Here is a 26183-nt window from a genome sequence, read left to right on the forward strand (position 1 = left end):
TCCCAGCACTTTGGGAGTCCGAGGTGTGCAGATCACCTGAGGGTAAGGAGTTGAAACCAGGCTGGTCAACATGGCGAAACCCCATCTCTACTAAAAATACAAAAATTAGCCGGGCATGGTGGTGGGAGCCTGTAATCCCAGCTACTCAGGAGGCTGAGGCAGGAGAATTGCTTGAACCCAGAAGCCAGAGGTTGCAGTGAGCCAAGATTGCCCCACTGCACTCCAGCCTGGGCGACAGAGTGAGACTCCACCTCAAAAAAAAAAAAAAGTTCCTGGGCATGTGCCATTGTGAGGAAATTACCAGATGCCAGAGAAGATGCTCAGTATTATTTGTCATTGGGAAACAGAAATTGAAACTACAATGATATACCACTACACACATTTAGAATACATAAAATTATAAAGATTGACAATATCAAGTTTTGGCAAGAATGTAGAAAAACTGGAACTCTCATACACTGCTTGGAAACAGTTTGGGAGTTTCTTAAATAAATAAATATACATATACCATATTAGATAGCCATTTCACTTCTAGGTATTTATCCAAGAGAAATGAAAGTCCAATACAAAAGACATGTACATAAATGTTTACATCAGCTTTATTTGTAATGACCAATGATGAAAACAACTCAAATGTCTATCAAAAGGTGAATGAATAAACGAATGTGATACGTTCATACAATGATGTACTATTCAGTAATAAGAAGGAATGAACTATTGATATACACAACAATATGAGTGAATCTGAAAATAATGCTGAGTGAAAAAGCCAGACATAAAGAGTATATATGGTATGATTCCATTTATCTAAGATTCTAGAAAATATAAACTAATTATAGTTGCAGGAAGCAGGTCAGTGGTTTCTGTGGGAGGAGGGTTAGGAAGAAATGGGAGGAAGAGATTACAAAGGGAAAATTGGAGTGGTGATAGATTTTTTTTTTATATTGGTGATAGTTTTATGAGTTAATACATATGTTGAAATTTATAAAACATAAAACTGTACACTTATCTTAATTTTTTTTGAAATAAAAATAAAAATCTGCTGGGCACAGTGGCTCACGCCTATAATCATAGCACTTTGAAAGGCCAAGGTAGGAGGATTGCTTGAGACCAAGAGTTTGAGATCAGCCTAGGCAGCATAGTGAGACACCTTCTATAGTAAAAGAAATGTGTTATCCCAATAAAGTTATTGGGATATAATTGACAAAACAGAAACAACAAACACAACAGCAACAATTAAAATTTTTTTAAAAAGAGCATAAATAAATATTGTTATTATAATGATTATAATGAGGTGAATGTATTTCCTGTTGATAATGTTGAGGCAGGGACATGGCAAGAGTCTGAATGTTTTAAAAATGGAATCATGTGCCAAAAATGTTGTCTTGTGAGAATGCTGTTACTGAGACTATCATTTCAGAAAATGCCTGAGGTTAGCGTGTTCCTAGCACTAGCATCAAACCTCCACTTGGGTGCCTTGGTCAGCAGCATTCTTAAGTTTGCAGATCACTGAGAAATACTGCAGAAGGTAAAAGAGAAAAGCAGTGTAAAAATGACTGCTTAGACATTTCTCTAATCAGAATCCAATTTGATTCAATATCTGTCAAATGATAAATAATGAATTAATTTTCTCTGCAAATGTGAATATGTTAATGACACAAATAACACTTATGTGTTAGACATAATTTATTTGAGTATCACGAGAATCCTTTGAAAATCTAGAGACAAAGATATGTGACTTGAACAACAGAAGTGGTTTTCAAAGTTGTTAAGCAAGTCAGAATGTTAAGACTTTATCTGGTTCCAACCCTTTAAATAAACAGGCAAGCAAGTAAGTACCTAAATTATTTAAAACTTCCTATCAGAATTGCTTGATAGAGTCATTCAACATATATTTTTAGCGTACCTATAATTTGAAATGAAAAGTCAAAAAGACGATAAGTGGCAATCTTTTACTCAATTAATGAATTATGTTCTTAGTCATTCAGTTATTTAGGCATTAATGTAACACTGTTTATACTGAATATTTATATTAAATAGTGTATCAGGCACTGCCAATAATGAAGAATGCAAAGATTAAGGATATAGCTCCCATGGCCCAGGAGGTTCTACTGAACTCTATAAACTTTTTTTAGTAAATAAAATGGAAACTTTAGTAGATAAACCAGCCAATAAAATCTACAATATCATGTTGTAGGATCGTATATTTTAAATAAGTGTATACTTACAATGATTGAACAAGTGAAGCATAAATACATAGTACACAGTGAAATTAAAAATGCAGTTATTCTGTTTTATTGCACATAGTGAAGTAAAAAACAAAATGCCTTTTGGAAGATAAAATTAAGTGCTTTCGTTAATGTGAAAGAAAATGAGAAAATTTTAAGTGAGAAAATCTGGCTGATTGTCTATTCAGCAATCAGACAATTGCATGGTTTCATTTTTCCTTGAGATGCTTTGATAATTATTTGCTATACTTTCCTAAGAGAATTTCTATTTCAGTTTTAAGCATATTCTTAAAGTTTGAAAATTATAATTCTTATGAATTACTTTTTAAAATGTTTAGATCATTCATTTTAATACCACACAATGCTTGGTTTGTTGCAAAAATATAATTTTAAAGTTTCACTCTATGATTTGAATTTTACCAGGAGAAAATCAACTGGAATATCAAAATAATTTCATTTCCTTTTTGCAGTTGGTGTTAACTCTTCATTATAAACACAGTATTCATGTAATTATAGTTGAAGAGTATATACAAGCAAAGTTCAAGTGTGGCATCTAATTTGTAGAAGTTCCTAGTTTGTTTAGGGAGGTAAGACCAAAAAAATAGCCATTTAGAAATAAAATTGTTTCTAGTTTACCAAGTGTGTTGGCTCACACCTGTAATTCCAGCTACTTGGGAGGCTGAGGAGGGAGGATTGGTTGGGGCTGGATTTCAAGTCCAGCCTGGACAACATATTGAGACATAGTAATTTTCTTAAAAAATATTTTTCTAAAAATAAAGATAAAGTGTAGTATAGAATTAAGTTTCAATATGAGTGTTGCAGGTATAGAAATGTTCATAAACTTTTAGTCATTGATAAAAGTGAGATAATGTTCCACAATGGTTCAAGTCCCAATGCCATCACTTAATAGGCATATGATTTTCGGTGAGTTATTTAACTGCTCCACGGCTCTTTATATGGCATATAGATAATAATAGCTGCTAACTTATATGAGCTTTTTCAACAAGACTAAATCAATTTCTGTATTAATTTACTTAGAATGATTCCTGGCACAAGTAAGAGCTCCATGTTGTCAATTAGTGTTATTTAGTGAAAGGGAAGGTGGTTGACCAAGCCAACTTTTGCCACCAGTGTGTTTGGGAAATCTTAGAGGCCTGGAAATTATCACAATAGATCTGAAAATTCAAATGAAAACCAAAAGATAACTGGTCTAAAGATTATAAGCAAATTATTAAAATAGGGAGATGCAAGCCTTTTTAACATTGAAACAAGGTTCTCATACTTGAAAAAAAATACAATTACTGATAAAACAAAAACTAAGTATTTGAAATTAAGTTGATCTAGATTTTAATGTCAGTTCTGTCCCTTATTGTCTGTGATACTGATAATAAATTGTTCAAATCCTGTCAGCCTTTTTTTTAACCTATGAAATTTATTACATTGATTAATTGGAGATAATGAATGAGCAAATTTTCAGAAAATGAGTTTTCTTCCCATTCTTCCTTCATTCCTTTTCTTACCAAATCAATTATCAGAGAAGATTTAAGGAAGTAGATGACACTGTCTTTTTATCCTGAATATTTGTGTTAAGACTTGTATGAGAGAGAGAGAGAGAGAGAGTTTTCGCTTAAGACTTGAGTCAGATTTGTTTAGGTAATTTTTTTTGCCAATTATTTTTTAGTTTAGTGCTAAATAAATGTTATTTGGTTCCTTACATTATTGGTGATTTCTCTAAACATTCAATGTTCACATTTCACTTTTGTTTTCTAAATTTTTGTCTAAATAAGTCTCACTGAAACACATTTGTGAAAACATACCTCCATTCCCTGTTGCATCAAATTGGGTACTAAAAGAACTGGATGTCAAAACACTCAGGGTTTTCTCTTTTTATTCTCCTCTGCGTAAATACTGATTTCATATCTCTAGTTATCTTTAGTAAAATAGAAATGAGTCTTTTCTCTTAGCAATGCTGTGACTATACATAATATTATGTATTTTTATATATTATATATTTATATATTTTTTATTGTTATAGATATATATTTTATGCTTATATATAATAAAATAAAAAACAACAACAAAAAACAAAAGCAAGCCTGCCATTTTCGCACAAACTATGCAGGAAGTTAGGATTGTAAAAAAGTGATTGCTAATTATATCTTTTAATGTCACATATAAAAAAAGTTCTTCCTATGTATTTGGAATGAAATTATATATCTTATATTTTGCCTGTTTTTAATTGTATAATATATAATAACACTATTCCAATCACATCTGAGTTTTACAATAAATATCCAGAACTTATTTCTTCTCAAATACTTTTTTTGCTTGGTTTCCAAAACACCACTGTTTATGTTCCCTCCCTACCTCACTGCAAGCTCCTCTTCAACCTTCTTTGCTGGCTCTTTTTATCTTCTTGACCTCTGAATGCTGGAGTGCTTAGTTCTTAGGCCAAGAAAGACAGAAAGGTATTTTTATTTTCCTGAATTCACTCCCTAAATGAGTTCATGCAATCGTATCATTTAAAATATCACGTACATGCTGAGGTTTCTCAAAATTGTCTCATATACCTTATCTCACGGTAGGTCAGCAAATGATATTGGTGCTACTCTCAAAATCAGAGCCACCCTCACACTTTGACTTCTATTCCATCTGTACAAATATACATTAGTATATATTCCAATTTTTTGGACCCCTACATCTCTATCTTCCTATTGTCTCCAGAGTAGCAAGAGTGACCTTTTTATAACAAAAGATTTGATCAAGCCATTCCTCTATTAAAAAGCCTCTGATACGGCCTGGCGCGGTGGCTCACGCCTGTAATCCTAGCACTTTGGGAGGCTGAGGCGGGTGGATCACGAGGTCAGGAGATCAAGACCATCCTGGCTAACACGGGGAAACCCCGTCTCTACTAAAAATACAAAAAATCAGCCGGGCGTCGTGGTGGGCACCTGTAGTCCCAGCTACTCGGGAGGCTGAGGCACGAGAATGGCGTAAACCCGGGAGGCGGAGCTTGCAGTGAGCCGAGATCGCGCCACTGCACACTCCAGCCTGGGCAACAGAGCAAGACTCCGTCTGAAAAAAAAAAAAAAAAAGCCTCTGATGCGGAGTTTGCAGTGAGCCGAGATCGTGCCACTGCACTCCAGCCTGGGCGACAGAGTGAGACTCCGTCTTAAAAAAAAAAAAAAAAAAAAAGAAAAAGCCTCTGATGGCTGCAGTTTTTACTGAGGATTCAATCTAAAATTTACTTACCATATTTAAGGCCATTTGGGATCTGGTCTCAGCTACTTTCTTAATATCATCTCTGATCACTCTCTAATCGCCTAGAAGTAAGTTGGTCTCTTTGGTGTTCCTTGAACTCACCAACATGGTTCACCACTAAAACCTTTTACTATCTCCATCCTGGAACACCCATCCTCTTGCTTTCTTCACATTTCTGCTCAAATGTCATTTTAACAGAGGCCAACCATGACTTTAGAGTATAAAATACGCAGACCAGCTGAACCCTTTACCCTTTATCCCTTGATGTAGGTGGATTTCTCACCTTACCACACCCATATTACTAGTAATAGATTTATCTGCTTTCTTTCTTTTTTTTTTTTTGAGACGGAGTCTCGCTCTGTCGCCCAGGCTGGAGTGCAGTGGCGCCATCTCGGCTCACTGCAAGCTCCGCCTCCCGGGTTCACGCCATTCTCCTGCCTCAGCCTCCCGAGTAGCTGGGACTACAAGCGCCTGCCACCACTCCCGGCTAATTTTTTTTTTTGGTATTTTTAGTAGAGACGGAGTTTCACCGTGTTAGCCAGGATGGTCTTGATCTCCTGACCTCGTGATCCACCCGCCTCGGCCTCCCAAAGTGCTGGGATTACAGGCGTGAGCCATTGCGCGCGGCCTTGTCTGTATTTTTAAAAATTTACTATCTCTGTCTACTAGTATCCTCTATAAGAACAAGGGCTTTGTCTGCTTTATTCATTGCTATATTCCTTACAAAAGTGCCAAGCTCGGAAAAGGAACTCAATAAATACTTATTGATTGAACAAATAAATGAATTCCACATCTGCCACTTACTGCAAACATGGGCAAGTAATGTAAACTCTCGATGTCCCAGTTTCTCTATTTGCCTAGCAAAAAAAGAAAGAAAATCTAACTTACATGGTCTATTTAAGGTTAAATGGCACTATATGCTATGGGGATACCTGAGCATGTAGTAAATCTTAATGAATGATTTATATTGCTTTGACAGTCTAGCCAGGAACTGTTTGGATTAGCACAGATTTTTAGCACTTGAATTTTCCTATTCTAATTTATTTATGAGTCCGTTTCACCTGACAAAAATTAATGACCATCACAAACATATATTTTGGAAGATCAAATGAGATAAATACACAATATTTGAATTAGTAATTGTGAATGCTGTATGATAATTTATAACATTTTTCACTGAAGTTTGTTTGTTTATGTTGTGGTATACAAAGGAAAATCAAAGTATCAACCTACATTTTTGGCAAAATATGTTAAATGAAACACAATGGTCTCATTCCTATCTCAATATTCCTGGTGTATGTAGCTTAGCCCTCATAATAAACTGAAGACTGACTTAATGAATCATTCATGATTAGTTTGAACTAATCATCGGAATGATCAGATGTTGGCAGGGGTTCCTGTAATGAAAGGAAATGATCTACCATCTGTAAGTGCCTCAGAATTCTGAAGGTTCTTAGGTTCTATTTTTTCCCTAATACTTAGTCATTTTCTGTAGCCATTTATCTTGAATAAGCCAAAAAAAGGAAAGGTCAGCCAGATTCAAGATTTCAAAGGTGTCATTTCTTTAGCAAACATGCACTATTCTTGATAGACTTTGAAATATTTTGCATCTATAAAGGTTTCATTCAGAATCGTAAATTATAAGATATTCCAGTCTTTAAGATAAGGGAGTGTTTTGAGCTTGAATCAGCAAAACCATTCAAACTCAACTTTCTTTGTTTCAAATAATGAAAGGATTGCCACTGCTGAAACAAATATTGAATTTTTTCAATTTTTCTATCTTTATAAAGAAGGTGGATTGTAAATGGAAAGGTGTTGATTGGGATAATTTTTCTTTTAAATAAAACTAAAATATGTAAATATTTAAAGTTTTTCAGATGATCTGAAAAAACATTACCAAATATTTAGCTAGTTAAAAGTTACCTATCTAACTATCTGATTAACTTTCTCACTGGTACTTTTGATCAAAAGTCACTATTTATTAACTGTACCCTGGCTTTGCTATTTACCACCATAAACAACTGATTTGTCTTGGAAACACATACCCAGCCTTCAGGACTTAGTTCAAGAAAGCCTGCCTCTATAAAGAAAGTATAATTTCTTATTTTCTCCTTTTTTGGACTGACTTGTTTACATATAGGTTTTCTTGGCTAGTTTATAGAATCCTTGAGTTATTTAATCTTCTTTTGTTTTAGTTTCCTAGTACTGAATACAATTATATTTTAAAGCTCAGAGTTATTTAATCTTTAGTGTTAGTTACCTAGTACTGAATACAATTTTATTTTAAAGCTCAATTATCTATTTTAAAGCAACAGAAACATTTTTTGTGAGTAGATGGTATATATAATGACTAATAGAATCAATGCTAGTAAATAGATTTTTTGCATCTCTCTGGGATGAAATAAGAAAAAGAGATGTAGTATTATAAATATATGTAAGACATGCATATGTGTATATGTATTGCATATGTTTATAAAGGAGATATAGAGTTATAAACATATCCAAGACAAAATCTTTTTTCTAAAAATATTATCTAAAAATAATGAAACTACTAAGATAAATAAAATATATATAGCAGGAGATGATACAACCACTTACCAATGAGCATTCATTCCATTGTTCATTCATTCATTTATTTATTCACACAAAGGCTTTGGAGCTAACAGTAACAAGATCTTCCTGAGCTATCTTTTTTAAAAAAAAATTGCTGCAATTAAAAATCAAAAGGACTCTGGACATCACAGGAGACTGACTACTCTCATGATCTCATTCATGGTCTGGAGCTGCATATTTCATTATGATAGCCACTAGTCTTCAGTGGCTATTCAGCACTTGAAATGTGTCTAGTCTTAATTGTGGGGTGCTGTAAGTTTTATTCTACCTTTAAGTTTTATTTCAGAAATAACATGAGTAAAAGTACAAAAATGCATGCTAGTTTCCAAGACTTATTAATTTAAAAATGTAAAACTTCTCAATATTTTTATTAATGAAACATTGAAATGATAGCATGTCGGACATACTGGGTTAAATGAAATTTATTAATAAGCTTAATTTCACCTGATTCTCAACTTTTTATTGTGACTACTAGAATATGTCAAATTACATATATGGCTCACATTGTATTTCTACTGGACAGCAGTACTCTAGGACCGAGATGGCAAACTTTGGCTTGTGGGCATTCGTCCCTCCACCTGTTTTTGTAAATAAAATTTTATTGGAATACAGCCCCACTCATTTGTTCACATATTGTTCATGCCTGCTTTTGTGCTACACTGGCAGAGTTGAGTAGTCACAATAGATACTGTATAGTCCACAAAGTCTAAAATATTTATGATTTGGCACTTTACAGCACAATTTTAAAGACTCCTACACTAGATGTTGTTTTCTCTTGATATCTCTGCTTCTCTTTATCTGCCTTTCTGCCCCTTCTTGCTATGAATCAGGCAAGCCCCTTTGTAATAACCATGTTCTAGAAGAAAACAGACTTTTTGGTTTATCCAATTACCATTAATCCTGTTTGTTCAGAGTATTTTTGACCAGGCTGTGTTATCCAACCTATAGATCAAATGTTTAGTTCAGTCCAGTAAGTGACTAGCTTTGGGCAAAAAATAAACCTAATATTTTTACCCTTCACATACTTTTGTGAGCAGGTAGAACAGGATGCTGGGCCCAGCAGGTACTGTGACCCATGTGTCCAACATATTTAGCACGGGCTGTATTAGTCCCTGGGTAAAAAAGATAAGAGAGTGACAAATATAGATTCATGTTAACAAGAGACAACTAGCTCAGATTCTGGGTTATGAGGGAGAGTCTTTAATGGAAAGCTTTGAGGGGAAAGGAAGCATTGGTTGACAGCTAAGAATGTAAGGAAAATTATTCACATTTCTGATTTATTTTCTTGATCTTTATGAATCACGGTGCTAATACTTTATTTTAAATGGAGTTTACTTGTAGTATAGATTCATATCTGAGTATCAATATTGAAATATGTATTCTAACATAAATTTAAAATGACCTTTGTATTATCCATTTAAAATTATTTTAATGATACTACCATATCTTTTATAATTAAGAACTGACCAAATTGCCCAACAATTTAAACAGAATTATAACCCAAAAGCAAATTGCTTTTCTATCTTATGTCACAGAATGAAATAAATTAACTTGTTAACTTTCATTGTAAAAGGATTTACTTCAAATTTACATGTAGGAATGTATAATTTCTTCTACCTATAAGTTTTATTTCAGAAATAACATGAGTAAATGTGCAAAGTTGGCTAGAACAGATGGATATATATGACTATTGTGAAATCAAAGTGGATTTCATTCTATTTCTAGAAACATGACACACTGTTTCTTGCTTGTAATGAACATGTACCCTAGAATGTTTTAATTTAGCTTTAATTTTAGCTTTTGATAATTTCATAGCTCTTCTAAGAGGTGTACTCACCTTGAGTGTCAATAATAACTTTTGGCTAAAAGTAATAACTCTACTTTCAACATTTCAAACTAGATGTGTCACCTAAACCTGAAGATAAAGTAAATTAAAAGGCAAATAACAGTGTTTCTAATGTTTTATCAATAAATTCCTTTCCTCAAGAATGAAGTCCATCCTCTTTTATTCTATCCTAGAGGAGGAGGAGTGGTGATTGGGGTTAGTCAAAATTTAAAACATTTAATTGGCTATTGTGCTAATAAGTGACATTTTCAAGTGATGTTAGATAGCTAAGTATGACTATTTTCAATGTTGTTCCTATGAGAATTGTCTTCCTCCCAATTATGCTTTGGGTCAAAATACACAGAATTTTAAGTGTATGGATATGTGTAACCTTTCTGCACACCAAACTCAGTTTCAACAGTTTTACTGCTGGAGAGGGAAAGGCTGAGCCAATCACACCACCTGGTTCATTATGAGGCTATTTCAGTAGACGAAGTATTATGTAAAATAAATTCTCCATATGGTTCATTTTGGCATGCTAGAATTCTACATTGAAAGTTTGTAAGATAGAATGTTAAACTGTTTTTCTACTATGGTACCTATATCGTCATTGGAGATCCAAAGAGGAAAAAGAAGTAATTGGATTTAAGGAAGGATTTAGGTACCCCCTAGGTTTGCTGAACATTATCATGATGCCAGCTGGAATTGGGAGACAGACATTAATCACATTTTAACAAAATAATCATTCTTATCCAAGGCACTATCACTCTGGGCTATTCTTACTCAAATTATGATATATCTAATTCTTTGTAAAAGTAAGAATTTAATGAATTGTCAAGCCTACTTGACATCTTTAACCTTTCTTGCTTTTTTGTGGACAAAACTTTAGCGTTTTAAACACCCTCATAAACACCATATTCGATAACCTATTTTCAGCACTACTTGACTTCTATGTGAAATTTATACTGCTAATGCCCATCCATCTTCTACTTCTTAAAGTTTTCTTCGCCCCATGATTTCTAAGACAATTCTCACTTCTGTCTATTTTTTCTCATCTCTCTGGCATTAGTGTTCAGTTCCCCTTGCTGAAGTCTTCTTCTAACTTGTTGAAGTTCAACACATTTTGGTTCCTTATTTTCACTTCTAACTATATATATTTTGGAATAATCTCATTTACCCAATGGTTTCAACTATCTGAAATGTGTTGATATCTCTCAGATCAATATCTTCAGTCTTGAATGCTATACATAGTTACATCTAATTGCTTATTGCACATACCACAGGTTCCTCAAATACTATGGGTACCAAGGAGTACTTTCATGCTTTCCCTTTACCACCACCTCCAAAGTCTACTCCTATTCTTGTATTCTTTACCTCAGTTAATGGCATCACCATCCACCATCAAGCTACAAGTCACAGAGTTATTACTTTATTCTATTTCTCAGTTTATACATTACTGGTCACCAAATTCTGTCAGTTTTACTTTATGATTTTTTCTTGCATCTGTCATATCTCAATTCAACACAATAACAGGTTTTTTTTTTTTTTTTTAAAAAAAACCTTTACAGAATTTTCTTGGAATTTTCTCCCTTCACTGTTACCAACATTTTTCTATACCAGTCTAAACTTTACAGTGCTACCATAGCAATCTTACTAAAAACAAAATCTGCTGAAAATCCTCTTCTAGATATTTGATTATAAAATAAAATAAAAAGCCTCTAATGTGCCACATAAAGGCCTTTATAATATGTCCTGATCTACTGAGTTAGTCCAGTCTCATCTCTTATTATTCATTCCCACCCGTCATCATTTGTCTTTGATTCCAGGTATACCATACTTTCCACTGGACCCACAAACATCACCTATTATTTAAAAAAATCCATACCTTTTTCAATTCTGTTTTCTTGCTGGTAATACTCCATCTACCCTCACCTTCTCTTCTTAGGAAATATCTATTTCTCTTCCAATATTCAAATATCCTTTTTGTTCTTTGACACTTTGCCAGAGTTCTACCTTCAATGGGCTAGTGAATACCTTCAACATTAAATATAAATTTGGCTTTAAAAATTTTGAGTCTGTAAGTATAAGCTTATTATAAGCTTATTCATTTTATCTAGACTTACTATAATGTCAATGGAAAGCTTGATATTTTGAATAGCACTTAGTAGTTCTTCAAATGTCTGTTTTGAACATTTAGTAAAAAATAAAAACATGTAACTACAACTGGACAGATTTCCCCAAACATAATCTATAGGGAATGAAAGAAAGAGAGATGGTATCTTTTGCATCTATTTGGTTTTTGACTGTCTTAACTCTGTGTCCATATATTATGACATGATATAATAACTAATGCTTTATTACTCCTCTATCTTCCTAATCAGATCACGAACTCCTCCAAGATAGAGAATGTCCATCCTAGGATCTCTAATAGCAGAAACAATAAAAAAAAAGTGGCTGTAGATCAAACTTTGGATAAGATAACTTGATAATATCAAAGGAGAATCATCAGAGAAAAACTCAGGAATGCTAAAGTCTCAATCTTTCTTTTAGTTCCACAAGACCTCTCTTGGTATTCAATGTTCATTGAGAGGCCAAATAAAACCAATTACATAGCTATGGTTTTAAAGACATCATTTGGGAAGGGCTATGATGAGAGATACACTTTTTGACTTTTGGAGTCAGTCTCATATCTATATGGCTTAATCCCAATGTGTGGGGATTTTGTGATTGTTTGACATTTTGTCCTTTTCTTCCCCTTCTTTCATTAGCCAAAAACTCTACAAGTCAATTTATATTTTACTTACTTTTTAATTATCCACCTTTAGCTCACTATCCCTAAACCAATTTGTGCTGCTGGTGTTTTGGATTAGGATGGGATGGCAAAAATGGGAAAAAGCTGGAAAGACAAAAGATATTTGGAAGGCAAAATCAAGAGAAATGGAAAGGGACACAACACAATTTTCAGTTAAAACATCACCTAAAAATCTAAATGTTGCTAATTTCATAGCCAAATGTGACTGAAATAATAATGTGCATGATTGGTTATTGCACAGGAATTAAATAACTGCTAAGTTACATGTGCTTTCTTTTTCTTCCTTGAAATTTAAGAAAATTATAAAGACTAGATGTTACATAAGTGAGGTCTCTCTGGGAAGAGGCTGAATAATTAGGAAGTAAGAGAGTAACAGTGTGGCTTCTTAAAAGGTTAGAGACTATTAAAATTGACAAATAACCAATTCCAAGCATCAGATATCTAGCAATAATAAGGAAGTGAGAATGGAAATTAGAGAAACTGTAGACAATACTTTCTTCCTAAGTGGATTTAATTCTGAAAATATCCCAAGGGATAGGGAGGGTGATAACATAATGCCTGCATTTAACTGACAATCAGAGCAAAATGTGAGTGCACAGCAGAAAGAGGTGCAGCAACTGTGGATTGTGCTATGATTTATGTGGCTAAATGAATGAGCTGTAGAGTTGCTACTGCATTCTGAAGACATTGGCAAGTGAATGGCTTATATCACCTATTCTGTCTCTAATTACTGAGCCTGTAATAGCTAACCCAATTTCCCTGAAACATTGAAACTTTTAAAGGCATAGCAGGAAAAAAGCCACATTATATGCTTTACTCAGTACTGAAGTTTTGAATTACATATTAATTGTGTCCACTGTTTTTATTAGCTTGAAAGTTTTTATTAAATTTCACATTTAAAAATCTTTGCAATATTAGAATCTTACAGATTCTTCATTATTTAGCCCATCATACCTTTTCAACTAAGTCATTTCAGTTGTTCTTTTCTACACTGTGAGGCAGTAGGTATGACTGATGTTATTGATCCTGTTCTACTAGGAGAAAATAGGCTCAGAAATGTCTAATGCTATTCCCAATTCATATAATTTATTAGTGTTGAAGTCAACATTATTCCACTATTTGAGAGTTCTGTCTACAATACCACATTGTAGATTTGGGGACTAGCAGAGCATACAGATTAGCTGCATCGTAAGTTTCTTCAGAATATGCATGCTTTTTATCATCTTAATTTTAGAATGTAGAGGTGTTTGTGATCTCCAATCAGGCGATGAAAAGCGGATTTGGAGAAGACACAAGAATAATTTCCTGTATAAAATGTATGAACATGAGAGTGGATTCTTGAGTTAAAGTGATTTTTTTTTCCTCTCAAATAGAGTGGGTATAGTCTCTTAAATGACTTTATTTTTAAAAGTTTATTTATTTTCAGTTGACAAATGAAACTTGTATGTTCTTATGGTATACAAAGTGATATTATATATATATATATATATATATGATTAATGTAATTGGCATATCTGTTACCTCACATACTTATATTTTGTGGTGAAAACATTTAAAATCTAGTTTCTTAGCAATTTTCAAGTATACATTATTAACTATAGTCACCATGCTGTACAATAGATTTGCAGAACTTATTCCTCCTAACTAAAACTTTGTACCCTTTGACCAACATCTCCCCATTCCCCGCTTCCCACCCCGGTCTTAGCCCCTGGTGTTAGAAAACAATTTTAGATAAAATAGTTACAAAACTTTTGACCAGGAGGTGTTCTGGACTACCTATAAACTGCATGTGAGGCTGCAATGCATGCAGGCATATCATTTATACTGCATCCTAGTTTTCAATATTACAGAATAATGTTTTATTGTTGAATATGTTAAAGGTGATAAAAATATAAAGCCAAACAAGATAGGTCCTAGACTTTGGAAAAATACATATTTCTAAAATGTCAACAGATTCTTCTTTCCTCCCCTCCTTTTTTTTTTTTTTTAACTTTTTTACTTTCACTTTCTAAAGCTCTGTTGAATTTGGAGGCATAAGGATGAGAAAAGACTGGCCCACAACTTGAGTGCATTGTTCACTGTGAATCTTGATAATAACAGGTATCCCTCATCAAGCACTTCTACATGACATGCACTGTGCTCGGCTTAAAAAACATCTACAACAACCTTATGCAATGGGTATTTGGATATTATCAGTTCTTAATGCAGAAAATTAGTCTTAGAGAGATCTTTAAATTTGAATTTAGATCTGTTGCCGTTGGGTTGCAATACTGAAATTAGACTTTTAAAAAGGCTGCAGGGCAAGACAGAAAGGTGACTCAATCTCCAATGAGGCTAGATAGCTGCTGAGTCAAGACCGTATAAGGCAGCATTAATCTATGTAAGTTCCTTCAAGTTCAGAATCTGTTAGTGATTGGACATGACTTAACTGCAGGTTGCTGATATGTCAACCAAACTCACAAGAAAGTGGCATACATAATAAAAATGCAAATTTATAATTTCCCACGAGAAATATGGCAAATGGATTAAATATTTTCTTTATACTGACCCCTAATTATCAGAAAATAATCTGTGTAAGAATGCCTCATCATATAACACGAATAATACCACTGTCTGTATCCTTAAGTCTCTCTATAGAGGATAAAAGTGTTTCTTTTGCAACACGACACTTGCATTCTTGAAAAACCCTGTATTCTGCAAAACTATGTACTAAAAATAAAATTACGAGGCTTATGGAGGAAACGGGGCTGGGGCAAAACCTATGTAATTGTGTACCAAAAGCACTAGCAAAAACAGTGGTTGGTACCTAGAGAGATTACTTGAATAACTTGGAAAGAGAGGTCAAGATAGCTGGGGTTTGCACCATGAAATATTATAAAGGCTGAAAGCAATTGAGTGGAAATACTGACTTTTAAGCACTGGGACAATGCAGAAGACAGCAGAACTCAGACGCATTGTGACTGCTCTTTAGATGCACTCTGCAGTGACTGCAACATGCCGGGAGCTTAGAGCAAGGCAGGGAGTGAGGAGACCTGCAGAGGGTAATCTAGGTCAAGGGCTCATTATAATTTCACTCTCACTATTCCAGCTCCACTTGCCTAGAAGAAATTATCTATAAAACCATACAACATTTCTGTTCTACTAGCATTATTGCTGTATTTGCCAATCATATGAGCTACCTAGTGTTACAGAAGATATATTGCAACAGAGCAGTCTGGCTATGTTGTCCTAACAGAGTACTCTTAGCCCTGTGTAGTTCTTGGGTGAGTATTGCCAAATTGCCTTATTAATTCTCATTTTATATTTATAGATGACTGACCACTCTCTCTTTTGATTGGCACATTCTTAGGCTTTATAATATCTTCAGTCAGGGTATCTCAACCCCTCTACAGACAGAAAGGATTAGAGTTAACTAGAACTCTAGAGTTCTGCTAGTCCAACTGAGAAAAACCTCACAATAGCATCCATCGTTAACCACTCTGCTTCAATTCTTACAGAGATAGAAAGTTCACTGACTTCTAAGATGGTCCATTTATTCATCTACTTATAAAAAACACATATGATCATAATAGTTCTAACATTTTGAGTGTTTAGTACTTAAATAAGTCTTAAGCTTAAGAATAAGTTGAACAGAAAGAAAATTCTGATTTAGAGACTATGATGAGACTATTTGGATAACATATGTAAATGTTCAATGGCTCTAGGAGATGTCTTTTTAGATATGGCAATTTACCATAGGAATGCTTATCTATAGAACTGGTAAGAAAAGATAATGGGGAAAATAAAAATTTATCAGAAGTATATTTTTAGAGGATTAATGACTTTTGTAAATTTCTCAAGAAGTTAATGATAGATTGTTGCACATAAAAGCTGAAAGAGAAACTAATTTGTAATTATATATAATGTTACATTTAATTTGTAAATGGAAAATTTAAGTTCAGTAAACAAGATGATCAAAGTCATTTGTAAATTATAGTAACATATTTAAAATAGATACTGTATTTAGTAATCTATCAAATTTTGCATTTTATATTTCATTCCTAGAACTTATTATATACCACATTTAAAGCCTTTTTTGTTAGTGAAAAAGAGTAGAGATATTTTTTATTAAAAACTTTTTAAAAATATTTAAGTCTAGTAAATAAAATTAAGTTAGAGATAGAAAACACCTATAGAAATCCCTTTCCTAATGATACAGATCCTTGACAGACTAAAGGACTTATATAATAAAAAGTCATCAATATTGTTCTGATTTCTAATCTTGTAGTATTTCAAAACAGAGGAGATAGCGATTTACTGCAGACAGCGAGGAGAGACTATGCATTAGAAATAAGCAAATTATCAGAATAGGTCGCAAGATAACCAATATGTTTTCATGACTGAAAGATATAACTTATGAAGTTATTCAGGACACTGGACATGAAGTTTTCACAAGAGGTAAGTTACACAGAGCTAGTATGTTAAAAAAATCGAAAGAAAGAAAACCATATAGCAATGTGTACCTTGAAGGGTACAGAGAGTTCTGAGAAGATCTCAGGGTTCAGCTACTTAGCTTCCTTTCCTCTCTTCTAGCTATCTTTTCTACCACCCACAACAGTTTCCTTTTCATCTGTTAACACTTCTGTCAACATTTTTCATTTTATTCACCAAAATCTTCAAATTACTCAATTTTTTTAAGAACAATTTCCGCTTGCCGTGTAATAGGTGTAGAGGTGTTTAGTGAAGCTAAATTAAAAGTTTACTGTTAGTCACTGCTCATTAGTTATCAGCACCTTTTTCTTTTTGGGAGTTCAGTGTTGTAAAAAGAAGGGGTGATGGATAGAACTGTAGGGATTATAAACTTCGTGGAGTTCTGCAATTCAATGCAATAAACCTGTATGGAGTGTTGCCTGAATATTATACATCCCACCCCCTTCAATCTGGAGTACCTAGCAAAACTCCTTCCTTCTAGTGGGGATGTTGATGAGATTAATTAATGTAAGTTATAGTAAAGTGGGCTTTTTGTTCCTTTTCCTTTATAAAATACAGAAACACCAAATAAAAGAAAAAAATCACCTATGATATTTTTTAGAGAATTGAGCTTTATTCTCTAACTGGATTGTTGAGTACAAATGATGCATGGATTATGACCAAATGCAACTTTCTTTTTGATTTTTATTGATCCTTGATAATGTATCCAATGGGGTGAGTTTCTCTGGCTCCCAGTGAAAACTCTAGGAGGTTCCATGGCTTTTTACATTTTGATCAAACTAACAGCTTTAAAATTACTTCAAAAAACAAACATAGTCTTGATTAAGAAATTATCTTGTCCCTTATAATAATCAAAGAACAGAAAATATTCTGTGTTAAATATTCTTCCTCTTTCATCTCAGTCTGGCTTCAAACTGAAAAACCTGGAGCATTACTTGTAGTTTTCTTTATCATTTCAACCTGTTTGTCTCTGCTTTTCCTTAATAGTTAACTCACTGCCAAAGTTGATGGTCCAGGGTGGTGTATAGAGAGGAGCAGACGTGGAAAAGCCAGTTCTTACTTGCTTGAATATTATTATGTTCATTGGGCTGCTAGTTAAATTTGGCAACCCTATGTGGTGTTCAGTTAATTGAAGCTAACCATTTCATTGTGTAACTTTTCGGGATTTTCACGAATTCCCTAGTGGGCTCTCTTTCCTACAGTTCAGTTGATACTAGTAGATGCACCATGTGCAGAATGGAGCTCCTTTCTCGCACTGGACACCTGGCACCACACCTTCAGATTCATTCTGCTGGGGTCTCTTCAATGCTTCTGGGTCGCCCTATTGGGCAGGACTCAGAGCCCTCGTTATGCATTACTCCCCCATTGCCACCCATGGTGTGTGGGAAATTCTTACTTATTTCTTTTCCTGACAAACTCGAGGAGTACAGGCACCTCCATGATCACTCTCCTTGTTCTGCTTCCAAAGCAGAAAATCAGCTTTTCCCTTGACCTCTAAATTCTTTTCAGGTGGGAGGGTAACCCCTGACTGCAGTAAACTTTGACTGGGTCCAGTATAAGTTTTATGTGTCTAATTGCAGAAAATCCACTTCAAAGTTCTGCAAATGGTTCTTTTGAAGCCCTCTTCACTAAGATTTGTATCAGAAGGTAGCACCACAGGCATCTGGGGTGAGGAGGCTGAGACTTACAGAGACTTACAGCCTGGCTTGACTCTTTTAGGAGAAATGTCTCCATCATTTTTGTTTCTTTCTCTTTAAAAAAAAAATCTCTCAGACCACTTGTCTTTGAGTTTAATGAGAGATCCAAGAGATGCAAACAAGTTTCATTTCACCTCTTTGTGAATTCCTTTCTATCCTTTTTATATCATTGGTTTTGATAAGGAGACCAAAAGAGCTGGGGGGACATTTACATTCAACCCTTTAATAAATTCCTCATATGGGACTGGAAATCTACCCCATTATCTGTTCAAAGTGAGGAAAAGAAGAGTTTCATTTTAGGTTTTGTTTTTTTTTCTTTTACACTGTCAACATAACAGTTATTAAATGTATTGTAAATACTGATTTACAAATGAGTCTTTTCCACCAAAGATAACCATGTGCTAGAAGGCATGGACTCTCCTTATTCATGTTAATATCACAGTAACTAGTGCAGTGCCTGGGGCATATGGATATTCAACAAATAGTAGTGAAAATAAACTTTATGCTTATATTGCACAGCTTTCACTTTCATTGATATGTCTGATCATTGATTTTCTTCTCAGTTCAGTTAACACTGAGCAAAGCTTTATAGAAGAGATTCCTAAATTAGTCTTGAAGCAGATTGTAGGTGGTGATGGTGGTTGTATATGTATGTGGAAGAAAGTTTAAGGGAAGCATGGCCAAGAGAACAGCAAGTACTAAAACATGGGGGTGGGAGGAAAAGCATGTTGGGAAACGTTGAATATTGCTGGAGTGTATGGTAGAATGAAAAAGGCAAGAAATGAGATTAGAAAACAGCATACGGGTTTTATATACCACAACAAAGGGTTTGCAGTTTATCTTTTGGATAATGGGATTTTGAAGAATTTTCAGTGGAAAATACATTAATTGAGAATAGAATATGTTTTTGCAAATTTATAAGAGACAGACTGAGAGTAAAAAATTCAATTGAAAGTGCAGTGTGTTTTAAAATATTCAGCAATAAAGCCTCGTGTTTCTGTTGATTAGCTATGTAGGACTTTAAATGGATCTTCACCATTATCAAGCAGTTTTTACTTTCTAAACTTTATTTTTAGGGAAAAAAAAGAAATTATTGTTTAAACTATCAAAGTTATTGCTATTTTCACCTCACAATCATGAAGAAAGGGACCTGGGAATTTTGTTCTTCACTCCTTGCAAGTAGATTCTTTCAACAAGTGTTCATTTAATTCTGAGTTAAAGAAAGTAAAACTCCATACAAGAATATCAGCATGAAAGTATACAGGAGAAATCCATTTTTATTTTAAACAAGTTGGTACAAACCAAGGGAAGAAAGTAGAAACTGGGTTAGATGAAAGGCAGTGCTTCAAGGGAACTGGCATTTTGCCATAACCTCTCTCATTTATTTGAGGGTATGTCCTGTCATGTGGGTAAAGTATAAAGAAGCATTTCTGTGACAGCAAATTAGTCAGTATAAGAAACTCAAGTCTATGTTCTGGCTTAAAGAGGGAAGATCATTCAAACCTCTTTAAACTGTGATGAAGTTTAAAAGCAAAGAAAATAGCACCGACAGCAACTCTTTTAGGAGAGAGCAACATTGTTTAAAGGGTACTAAAGGACCCCAGGAAAATACAGAAGGAGCCACTGGAATTTCCTCAGTAACAGTGCTTTTGTTATTTTTGGCAAAAATTAACTTCAAATAACCTGAATAAATGCACAATAGTATATAAACCCCCAGGCTAACGGGAACTAACCTTCAGGGCAGAAAATAATCAAAAGAAGAATAAAATGTTGTAGAATTAAAATGCGGGCTGCAGAATAGGACAAAGATTTCGAAGGAAGGAAAAAAATGTGATATTTCTGGAGAATTAGCTATTAAGTCATGCACATTTATTGTAGCCAGACTTGGCAGTACAACTGCTGGTAAAAGAATGTCAGAGGTTTCAATATAAAACTCCTATTAGAAGCAGTTATTGTGTAAAATTAGCTATCCAGATCTTTGAACATCCCACACCATCTGGCAGAAACGTACAAGCCCAGATGTCCTATGTCTTTATGTAGAGTTTAGAGTCACTGGGTATCAAACCAAGAACCATAAATATCTCATTCCAGGGAAAAGCTAAGATATTGTTCATAGGTTCAATTTACTCTACTTTGTCATTAGTTCAAATAACACAACACATTTATTTATAGTACCCATTCTACTATAACCAAATGAAGAGGTTATATATTTTCTGAATATATTCTGAAGAGGCATATATTTTATGTACTGAAGAGTCATATATTTTCAATTTGCACCTCCAGATCCATTCTTCACCCTTCACCTCCTGCAATGTGTTTGCAGGGAAAGGGGCTGATCATTGCCTTTTGGTTATATTTGGTAAATGGGAGATACTGGTAGAACATCAAAGACAGGAGGAAAATGAAGTCCATATATTTATTCCCTTCATTCTCGGCCTTTGCCCAAAGTCCTAGTTTATTTCGCATGAGCCTTTCCAAGGTGTGTATGCCTCTCCAGTTTAGATAGCTAACTCCTCTTCTTTCATTAGGCTTGGGATAGCAGTTGTTCTCTTCTGCTATTAGCCCCATGGTACTGTAACATTTCTTGTTGATTTTCTTTAACCTTCTCATATGTTTTTTATTTTTCTTTTTTATTTTTATTTATTACTTTATTCATTTTTGAGCCAGGGTCTTGCCCTGCTGAAGTGAAGTGGTGCAATCATAGCTCACTGCAGCTTTGGTCTCCCAGGCTCAAGGTATCCTTGTGTCTCAGCCTCCTGAGTAGCTGGCACCACACCTGGCTAATTTGTGTGTGTGTGTGTGTGTGTGTGTGTGTGTGTGCGCTACAGATAAGGTCTTACTGTGTTGCTCAGGCTGGTCTCAAATTCCTGCACTCAAGAGAGCCACTTGCCTTGGCCTCCCAAAGGGCTGGGATTACAGGCGTGAGCCACTGTGTCGGGTCCTTCTCATACTTTGGTAAATGAATCCTTTATTAAAGTTCTTTGTTCGAATTTGCCATTTGTTCCCTTCCAGCGCACTGATTGATAAGTATCCACTTACTAAAATGTAAATGGCTTAGCTTGTGGGAAAATGTTTTCATGTTATGTGCTGATCTAGTGTTAGGAAAATGTACGAGATGACAGAAAACCAATCAGTTAGAGCTAGGGAAGAGAAAGTAAGCCCTAACATTCTATTTGACACTTACCAAAGCATCTGGAGGTCTTTACTGAGATCCTGGCTTGGCGTTCTCCTTTTTCTAGTTAATACACTGATATGGTCTTTCTGAATTTTGAAGGGTCTATGTGTATTTAAAATACTTTTCCTTTTTTATTGTTAGCAGTTTGGGTTTGATATATTTCTTATATCTGAGAGTTGGATAAAATTCAGATATAAAAAAATAAGTACAATGTAAGCTTCCTGAAGGGAAATATTCTGAATATCTACTATAGAAATTAGGGCAAATGTGGTTGTTTCATTAGCATTTTATTTCTCTACTTCTCTGATTGTTTCTTTTGTCATGTTTGCTCATTAACCTCCACCAGTTGCTATTTATATTAAACTTCCTCCAGGCTGTATATTGACCTTCACCTTTTTATCTTTTATACTACCTATCTCTTTTAGGATCTAATACACACCAGGATTTCAATATACTATATCTATATTTAAATCACTCAGTAATTTGGGCTTCTTGTTTATATTTCTGAGTTGTAGTCCAACTGCGTACTCATGTCTACCCTTAAATGTCTTCCCTATTCAAAACTCTGACAATTTCTCATTTCATTTTGGCCAAAAAACAAAAAAAACAAATACCATGACCCCTGTGGCTATAAGTGATTTGCCTTCAACTTTACTGTGTTGGAATGCAGTCTAAGCTGCTGTAGCAAAAAAAGAAAAAAAGTAACATAAAAAACAATGGCTTAAGAAAGGCAGAAGTTGATTTTTCCCTTATGTAACAGTCAAAAGATCAATTATTCAGGGCTGGTCACAAAGGGTTCTGCTAACCACTTACATAACACTTTCATTTTGGGATCCAAGGTGACTGCTCGAGGTCCTGCCTTTTTACTTCCATCCTAGTCAGTGAAAAAAAAAAAAAAAAAAAAAAAAGGAATAACTGGAAGACGAAAGGAATGAACACCAATCATTTTAAGGACATGGTCTGAAAGTGGGAAAACTTATCAGCGGAAAAAGAAATTGGTTTGGGAATTGTGTTATACAGTCATACCATGGAGGTGCAGACCACCTCCCGACCCTGGACTGTGTTTCTTTACCCTGACGTATCCTGAGAAACAGGAATGGTACAAACTAACTTTTTTTCCTTTAGAGGAGTTGGGGGAGGTGGTATGTGCAGGCATTCTTCAGAGTATTCTTCCGCCCCCAGCACCCACTCTCATTATTTTCCCTTTTACCACCGACTCTTGTCCTGAAAGGTTGGTTGCCTGTTATTTTTGGATCAAACATACGAAGAAAACCCTTAACTTCTCCTTTTGGAAGTTTCAAGTTTCAGGAAGCCACCTAGCCAGTTGGTTTATTTTCTTGACCTAACAGTAGTTCCATGATGCATTGGTTTTAACAAGGCAGCTGAGGCAACAAAACGAGTGGCTTACCATTCTGCCTAGTCACCCTAAGCCTGAGTACTAGAATGAACAGCACATAACTTTGTGTGAGTCCACATATTTTAAAAATCTCCTAATCCTATGAGTTCATAGCTTCTCTACCTACATGATGCATTTGGCACTAGTTTGAATGGTCCCATCACATCCTTTTTACAATTGCTCTCCTCATCCAGAAGAAAACTTCACACCATAAAGAATTATGTTGCAAGAGATTTCCAAGTCAGAGAAGATAGCTTTCACAGAAATCATTTTCCAAAGTGAGCTTAGGTTTTCCAATTAACCCACAGAATCATGTTTAGTCCATAGTGTAGATGATGTGTAGCACTATTTTCAATTCTGGATCTTAGGAATGGGGTATCATCTAGTAAAGGAAACTTAAATGAAAAAGAACTTCCTCTCTTTTTGTTCTGAAAAAAAAAAAAAAAAAAGGCATTAGTACCCCTTCCTCATGTATCCCACAAGTATTCCATTATACCCTTGCCTTTTCAAGGCCACTTATATGGAAAAGGCAAAAGAAAACCAACTTCTATTCCACTACTGTGTTTTCTCATTACCTTCAAATTAGCTACTCACACTATATAAAATTGTCCCTGTCTCTCAATGACTTCAGTCTGAGAGGAAGAATGTTATACGATTTAACAAATTCCACTAATATGTGAACAAAAAGCAACAGCTCCTTAACATTCTCAGAAATCACTGGAGTTTTTAAAGAATGATGATTTTATTGTGAATTTTTTGATTCATAGAATTTTAGGAAAGATAACAAGGAAGTCAAGTGAAATCAGGAAGTGCAGAGATTAAAAATGGGAACATTCCTGCTTGAGATAGCTCCATAGAGCCTTTCCTGCCTTTTTCTTCCTTCTCCTATCTCTACTTCAATGTTTACAGATTCTGTGAGATTTTCAGTTGCTTTCCTGGTGATGACATTAGTGACCCAGAGTGAACAGCCTTTGCATGGCAGGGCTATTTGTCTTATTATTTTACTTAGCTGGATTACAAACTAACTAAACCATGTCTTACATGTATTTTTACTTTTATTTTTGAGACAAGGTCTCCCTCTGTCACCCAGGCTGGAATGCAATGGCACAATCAGAGCTCACTGCAGCCTTGACGCCCTCCAGGCTCAAGCGATCCTCCTGCCTTAGCCCCTGAGTAGCTGGGGCTACAGGCATGCAACACCACGCCTGGCTATTTTTTTTTTTTTTTGGTATTTTTGTATTTTTAGTAGAGGCAAGGTTTTGCCATGTTGCTCAGGCTGGTCTTGAACTCGTGGACTCAAGTGATCTGCCCACCTCAGCCTCCCAAGAGTGCTGGAATTACAGGTGTAAGCCACCATGCCTGGACACTTGTCTTTTTATTATCGTAAAGAGCCAAAGCATTAGGTACTCAATAAAGATTTAAAGAATGATGGTGTCAAAGTACATAGACTTTTTCCTCTATTTAAATAATCAATTTTCTTCCTGTGTTATTCAGACTTTAATAATATGTAACCAACTCCAACACATTAGGTGAGATTTTCTATTTCTATGTCCAGCAATTCTTAACATTGTCCATGAGCACAAATCTTTTCTAGATTTGCCTTCTTACTGATTTTTTTTCCCTCTTTGGGCTTTTTTTCCCCCGTCCATACCATCACTAAGATGTGTCCGTGTCTATGTCAGGAGAAGGATGTCAATCAGAATGGTGGTGAGGATAAGTGAGTCGGCACTATGAGAAGGTACTGGAACTAGGGTAAAGGAAGAGGTATTTCTAAGTGGAGACTTGATTAAAAAGGGGAGCATCTTATACCAACCAGCAAGTCAGTGGGGGAGGTCTGGAGTGATTAACTGACACAGGAGTTTCCCCTAGGTCCCCTCATGCCCTTCAGGCTACAGGTTGCCATTTTGTAATGACAGATTTTTTTTTTTTTTGAGATGGAATCTTGCTGTGTTGCCCAGGCTGGAGTGCAGTGGCTTGATCTCAGCTCACTGCAACCTCCACCTTCTGGGCTCAAGCAATTCTCTTGCCTCAGCCTCCCTAGTAACTGGGACTACAGGTGTGCACTACCACACCCCGCTAATTTTTTGTATTTTTAGTAGAGTTGGGGTTTCACCATGTTGGCCAGGCTAGTCTTGAACTCCTGACCTCAGGTGATCCACCCGCCTTGGCCTCCCAAAGTGCTGGGATTACAGGCATGAGCCACTGTGCCAGCCTTTTTCTTTTCACTTTAAGATTATTCTTGGCATTTATTTACTTCAGATATAGCTATAAAAATATTTCAAGTAGAGAATGGGGAAAAGTGAGGAGAAGATGAAGACAAAGTAATTTGTCTAAACACTACTCTCTCCTAATGAATTAATTCTTTTCTTTCTCCCTTTCATCTACCCCTCCTTTCTCTAATCTTTTCCCCCTTCTTTCCTGCTTTTCTTTCGTACTCCTTTTACAAATATTTACTGGTACCTACTTCCTGTCAGGCATTCTGCCAGGCTCTGGGGATACAGATAATGAAGACAGGGCTCTGATTCTTGTCTTTTAGATCCTCACCTTCTACTGGGGAGACAAACACAAACATAGTTAGGAAAATCATAATATAATTAGCTTTTGTAATGATTTCCCCAAATACAAAAGGAGAAAAGGACCACCCTCCCCTGACCCGATTTCCTGCTGGAGTACACTTCATACATGAGGAACAATTTGAGTTGAAGC

At 35.1% G+C, this 26183-nt stretch overlaps 1 protein-coding gene across 4 annotated transcripts in view; it reads right to left on the bottom strand.

The window, feature by feature from the left end:
* Window positions 1–26183, bottom strand: part of OLFM3 (olfactomedin 3) — a 194367-nt gene that overhangs the window by 142066 nt on the left and 26118 nt on the right. For 2 of the 4 annotated variants that reach the window (NR_110210.2, NM_001288823.2), the window contains exon 2: window positions 22895–22955. The exons of the other annotated variants lie outside the window; for them this stretch is intronic. The gene's annotated coding sequence lies outside the window, so the exon portion shown is untranslated. The remainder of the gene's footprint in view (window positions 1–22894; window positions 22956–26183) is intronic. 4 annotated transcript variants of the gene reach the window in all.

Source organism: Homo sapiens, chromosome 1, assembly GCF_000001405.40.
Source record: "Homo sapiens chromosome 1, GRCh38.p14 Primary Assembly".
Lineage (NCBI taxonomy): Eukaryota > Metazoa > Chordata > Mammalia > Primates > Hominidae > Homo > Homo sapiens.